This window comes from Homo sapiens, chromosome 8 (assembly GCF_000001405.40).
Source record: "Homo sapiens chromosome 8, GRCh38.p14 Primary Assembly".
Taxonomy (NCBI): Eukaryota; Metazoa; Chordata; class Mammalia; order Primates; family Hominidae; genus Homo; species Homo sapiens.
Genome location: NC_000008.11, coordinates 81,312,658 through 81,319,192, shown reverse-complemented (window position 1 = coordinate 81,319,192; position 6,535 = coordinate 81,312,658). Strand labels below are relative to the sequence as shown.

At 39.8% G+C, this 6,535-nt stretch overlaps 1 annotated feature.

The window, feature by feature from the left end:
* Positions 5,774 to 5,983: an enhancer, noted in NCBI's record as "active region_27583". NCBI's record gives its function as "activates an Ori minimal core promoter by ATAC-STARR-seq in GM12878 lymphoblastoid cells {active_cell/tissue: GM12878}" and the evidence as "EXISTENCE:reporter gene assay evidence [ECO:0000049][PMID:35858748]".

Here is a 6,535-nt window from a genome sequence, read left to right as displayed (position 1 = left end):
GATAAAACAGGGTTGTTAATGTCAAAGCTTGCACCATATCCTCCACAAGTGAGCAAACAGGGGACAAGAGAGACTATGGTCCCTAGAATACGTATGACCTTTTAAAATTTTTCTCTTTAATGCTTTGGCCTATAGGTCTTCCTTGATTTCCTTCTGCTAGATTAAGGTGCGTAAAACCAAACTATTTCCTTTCTAGCTTGTTATCTCTACATTTTCAGTTCTATGTTTCAGATTTGAAACCCTCTATAAGGAAAGACTATTTCAAGAAACTTTTAGGTGCCAAATCAAGTAAAATGTCACAGACTTCAGGTTCAGTACAGCAACACTTCTCAAACATCAATGTGCTCACAAATCACCTGGAGGAACTTGCTAAAATGCAGATCGAATTCAGTAGGTCTGGGGCGGAATCTGAGTTTCTGCCTTTTTAACAAGCTCCTTGGTGATATCAATGCTGCTGATCCTCAGACTATATCTTGAGTAGTTAGGAAATGAGACTTCACATTTCCTGAAACCACATACCCTGTCTGCTGTATTCCTGCATTCCCAGCACCTAGCATAGTAGAAAGCAAAGAGATGTGGAACCACAAATATTTGTTGAATAAATGAATGAACAAATAACATCACAGTTGGCTCCATAGGGCAACATAAGCTACCTATGTATGGAAAGTAAAATTCAACTGAATTTACTTCTACTCATAGTTACTGTGTAATAAGCATCTACTCAATGCCATGGACTGTACATGGTAGTTAATTATTTACTGCTCACAACAATCCTCTATGAATTGTATATTCCTTATTGAAGATGAGGCAACTGAGAACTAGAGAGATTAATTTGGTGAAAGTCTCAAAGGCAGAAAACTTTTGAAGTGATAGAACAGAGACCATAACAGGTCTGTGCAAGTCTAAAGTTCACTGTGCTCAATTGCCTTCTCCTTCTACAAAGAAAAACCCGCAGCACCAAGCTCTTTTCAGAAACTACTCCCCATCCTACTGTTCAAATTTGCAGATAGAGCATCTCTTTACAGCTTGCAAGAGGTGAGATGACTGTACCAAAGCTGCAGGCTCTGTGACAGCCCTGCCCCCAGCAGTTTCCATTCGTGAGTGGGCCCAGCACCCAGCCTCAGCTCAGAGTCAAGCCAGAGAGCCAAGCACTGCCTAAAGTTTCACTCTCCTTTGGAGCTAGCCTGATTTACTGCACCATGGTAAGATAATCCAATACAAGCAACACCCGGGAGAAGTGTTGATACCCCAAATATAATTGTCTGACTTATCTCTAAAACTAAGAGCTCATTTAAATTTCAGCAATAAGAATTTTTTCTTCTGTGTGGGTTACTGCATGTATAAAATTGGTACTAGTTTTATTTCCTTACCCTATCCCTCGATTGTGCTAAGTTGAAGACATTGAATGTAAAAAAATAATAGTAATAAACAGCACAGTCTTGGCACTTCTAATGAAAAAAAAAAAACAGGTTGGTGTGTGTTCCAATTATCAAATTATCAGTTTTTTGCAGAAAACAGAAATAACAAGTACATCCTTAAGAGAAGGGTTGGAGGTTAAAAGTGAGCTGTAAGTCTTGTTTTAGTAGAGAAGACATTGTGCCAAGAGTCACAAAACCTTGTTTCTAAAGGGGCCCCACCATTAACCAACCCTACTGAGCAAGGTACATAGATTCTTCAGTGTGTCAAATCATATTTTAAAAAAATAACAATAGTACCTAATCTTATAAAGGTTTTGAGAAATCTCCTATTAATTTTTTTTACATTCAATGTCTTCAACTTAGCACAATAAAGAGGTAGGGTGAGGAAATAAAACTTGTATTTATAAAGGTTAAGTACTTTTGTGGTCTTATAAGATTAATAGTACCAGCCTTATAAAGTTGTTATGAATATCAGATAAACCAAGGTAAATAGTAGGGCCATATTAGTTTGCCAGAGCTGCCAAAAGACCACACACTGGGTGACTGAAACAACTGAAATTTATTTTCTCACAGTTGCAGAGCCTAGAAATTTGAGATCAACGTGTCCGCAGGGTTGGTTTCTTCTGAAGCCTCTCTCCTTGGCTTGTAGATGGCCGTCTTCTCCCTCTGTCTTCACATGCCTCTGTATGTTGTCTGTGTCCCAATCTCCTCTTCTTACAAGGATGCTGGTCATACTGGATTACAGCCCACCCGGATGGTTCATTTTCACTTAATCACCTCTTTGAAGGCCCTATCTCCAGAGATAATCACATTCTGAAGTGTGCGGGTTCGGATTTCAACACATGGGTTTGGCTGGGGAAAGGGAAGCACAGTTGGGACACAATTAAGCCCCTAACAAGGGCTTTGAGAAATTCAGATGTGTATAAAGTAAATTGAATGCAATGTTATGTAGTTAAAACAGTGTAGACTTTGGAATCAGAAATATCTTCAGTTCCCAGCTCACCCCTGCTACTTCTTTGCTGGCTGTGAGATCTTGGACATCTGACATCATCCCTGAGTCCCACGTTGCTCATCAGTGATAGTGTAGGTAGTAGTTTTTAAATGGCCACAAATTCTTGGCAGCTCCTCCTACCAAGAGGTGGACTCTATTTCCACTCTCCCCGCATCTGGGCTGGCCTCACCATGTGTGTTGGCCAGTAGAATGCTGTGGAAGTGATGCATGATTTCTGAGTCTAGGTCTCAGGAAGCTGTGCTGTATAACGGTACTGACTTCATGTCAGGTAAAAGCTTGCTTACTTGAATATAATTATTGCTTTACTTGAGTTTGTTGAATATTCACTAAAAACTACCTCAGGAAAATAGAACCTTCAACAGAGATCAAAGAAAATATGCCAACGAACAACTTTGGGACAGGGCTGACTGGGCAGATCAGAACAGGCTGACAGCACCTTCAGAAGGCCACAAAAATTGACCAAGAAAGCAATGTTTAACTGCTCACCTGAGAATGCACACATTTCACAAGAATATTTTCATCATCATTTCTCCTAATTTTCCTTAAAAAAACCCCGATCAAGAGACACAAGTTGGAGAGCCGGTGTTTGAACGCTGCTAGTTCACTGCCTCCCCTGAGTTGCTGGCTTCTCGAAAAAACCTAACTTTCCTTTCACCAAAGCTTGTCCCTTGAAATTTTGGTTTTCAGGCAACAAGTGGCCAGGCATTAGTTACAATGCCACTTCTATGCTTGGCCTCTTGAAGTGCTGCAGCTGACAGAACCAGCCCAGGCTGATGCACTGGAGAAAGAGAGACCATGTGGAACAGAAAAAAAGGCCTGCTAGATCAAACTAGCCCCTAGGCAACCCAATCATGAACTGAGGTCACATGAGCAACCCCAACCCAGATCAGCAGAAGAACTGCCCAGCTAAGCTCAGACCAAATTGCTGACCCACTGAATTGAAAGGAAATAAAATGATTGTTGTTCAATGGGTAACTGATAGGGTGTATAATATTAATGCTACAGGTTGCCACAGGGATTGGAAACCATGACTCCAACACTAGTCAAGGTCCTGGCATACACCATGTGCTCAATAAATGTTAGACGTATTACTATTTTTCAACCAACTGTGTATTTTAGGAGTTGTGAAGGGTTGAAAAATAAATGCATTTAATTTAATTATAAAACCAACATATAGATGTTGGACTTAACAAGCTAGGGTTAGAAATAATAATTCAGAAAGAAAGGAAACTTATCTGAGGAAGATGAGGCTCCTTTAAATTATCAAGCCCAAAGAGGCATGGAAATGTGAATCATGTCCCGCCCCCTTTTGAGCTAAGTAATCATTTCAAAGCTGTCTCCTTTATGGACTCTAAACAGAGTGTCACCCCCCATAGCTGTATATTAACCTAACAATGCCCCATCCTGGAAACCATAACTGACACCTTATCGTTCACCAATGTATAGCCAATCACCAATCAATGTTATTTCTGTAAAGCAATGAGAATTTCTGGCAAACAGCTTTTGTAATTGCTCCCCTCCTGATTCGTCCTTTTTTTCTTTAAAAACTCAAGCCTCTCCTTTGTTCTCCAGAGCATCTCCTAGTGTTTCCTGGGCTGCAGTCCTCAACCTTGGCCCAAATAAACTCTCTATATTAATTTTGTGTCAGTTTCCTACTTTAGGTTGACAACATTTACATTAAAGTCTTGGATTGCCTATTAATAATTAGGTTCTTTATAGAAAAGCAATGAATTAAATGTTAGAGAAATGATTAACCATCACCTCATCCAGTCCTTGACTGAAAATAATTCACTGAAGTCAAGCAATGCTTGATATTGTTTTTAGAGTTTCTAAGAAGAAAATATTCCAAGATTTCCCTTTGTGACCTTTTCCTCCATAAAGCATGAGTTCCTTATGCTTAGACAGAGTCTCCACTAAAGAAACTTATCTGGTTGGTTGTTTAACTGAAACAGCAGAGCTCATGGCCACATTCTTATTTCTACTGTGCAAACACTTGAGAAATAACATAGTCTATGTTAATAATACAAAGACTCTAGTCTTGTGAAGAAAGAGCTTAGAGGCGTTTGTAGTGAGTTCGGACTTGATAAGGTGACTTATCTCAGGACAAGTCACCTCACTCTCACAACAACTCTACGATGGAAGCAGATAAGATTTGTTCTGTTCTGTTTGTTTGTTTGCTTAGTATCTTAAGGTTAACCCTATTTTATATGTGAAAAAATTGACATTCAAGTAAATTGAATAATTTTTCTAAAATAACAGAGTACAGGATAGAGTTGGTACTCTAATCCTCCACAGGATTGTAAATTGAGTGTTCTATCAATTGAGTGATTATAAATTGAGTGTTCTCTTTACTATTCCACGTTAATAACAACGTATTGAAAGCGGAGATATTCACTTAACTCATGCAGTCTCGGTGGGGCAATATGCCTTCATGGGAAAAATTATGTCTAAGGGGGTGATCAAAAATGTAGATATTACAATGGTTTATTGGGCCATTGAACTTAAACAGATGTACAGAATACTTGTGGTATTAAAGCATCTAATGGGGAAGGAGTGACATGGAAGAAAATGTCTAACATGGCTCTTGTGGGGTACAAAATATGGAGAGATGAAAAGAAGACTGAAAAACACTGACTTCATAGTTTTCTATTTTTTAAAAATCTGTGTGTCAGTGCCATTCTCCCATGAAGAGTCCTTATTCCAGTTCTTAGAAGAATTTCCATTTTTTCTCGGATTAAGGAAAATTCAGTGAGAATCACTCATGTGAGGGACAAATGAAGACAAAGAACTTTTTCCAGACTCTGACCCGGTGAGGAGAGAGAAGTTCTGGAAGAGCAAGCCTGAGTGAGGTGCCAAGGAAGTCAAGACACTTTCTTAGGTCCCAGATATGTCAAGTCCATTTCTTGTACTGCAGCAGATGCTTTGCCACTCGACCCCCGCCCCCCGCCATTTCTTCTGTCTTTTCCCTGCTATTCTTCCAGATAATTCCTTCATTTTATTATAAAATAAAGTATTAAACATCACTGACCTAAAAGTCCCAGAAAAGACTACTGGACTCATTTAGAACCAAGCAAAATGTAAATCAACATTTACATTTTTTTCTTCCTTTGTAAAATAATCCTGACAACTTCCCCTTTATTCAAAAGTCCTAGATGGGTCTCAGAAGCCGTGTGCTAGGGTTTGAATGCCCCTCCAAAACTCATGTTCAAATTTCATTGCTATTGTGATGGTGTTAGTAGGTGGGATCTTTAAGAGGTGATTAGGTCATGAAGGCTCTGCCCTCCAAAACAAATTAATGCCGTGATTGTGGGAGTTGGTTAGTTATCAAGGGAATGGGCTTCTGATGAAAAGATAAGTTCAGCCCCATTTTCTCTCTGTCTTGCATGCTCTTACCCTCTCATGCACTCTGTCATCACCATGTGATACTTTCTGCCATGTTACAACACAGCAAGAAGGCACTCAGCATATGTGGCCCCTCAACCTTTGACTTTCCAACCTCCAGAACCATGAACCAAACAAATCTCTTTTATTTATAAAACACCACCCAGTCTGTGGTATTCTGTTATAGGAGCAGAAAAAGCTAAGACTCCGTAGGGCTCTGGAGGGGATAGAGACATTCTCACACCTGTCAAAAGAGGAACAAGAACCAATAGTGGTTGTAACACACTGACAGCCTTTCTGTTGAGGCACGTACTGGGAAGCAGCCCAGGAAGCAGATCACAGGGGTCCAAGTGGGACTTGTGCAACCCAGAAACATTTCCCCACTGCCCAGGGCTCCAAATGTATGGGTGGACAGTATGCTACCTCCAGGCTTGTCAGGAACTTAGTCTGCTAGCAGTCTAATGCAATACCTCATTTTCTATTTCTGATTTAAATACAAACATTCAAATATTTTATACTTAAATATTAAACAGCAGTTTTCATTGAGAGATTCAAAATTTGCAATTACCTATGAAATTTTGGACAGCCTGGGTCCCTGAAGGATTTCCCAGGCATTATCTTACTTATATTATGCCGGGGAGGAAGTGATGTAGATAAAGGTATCTGGGGTGTGAACTCCTACTCCTACCCCCAGGAAATCTGTGATCCATCAGCTAAAACTCCA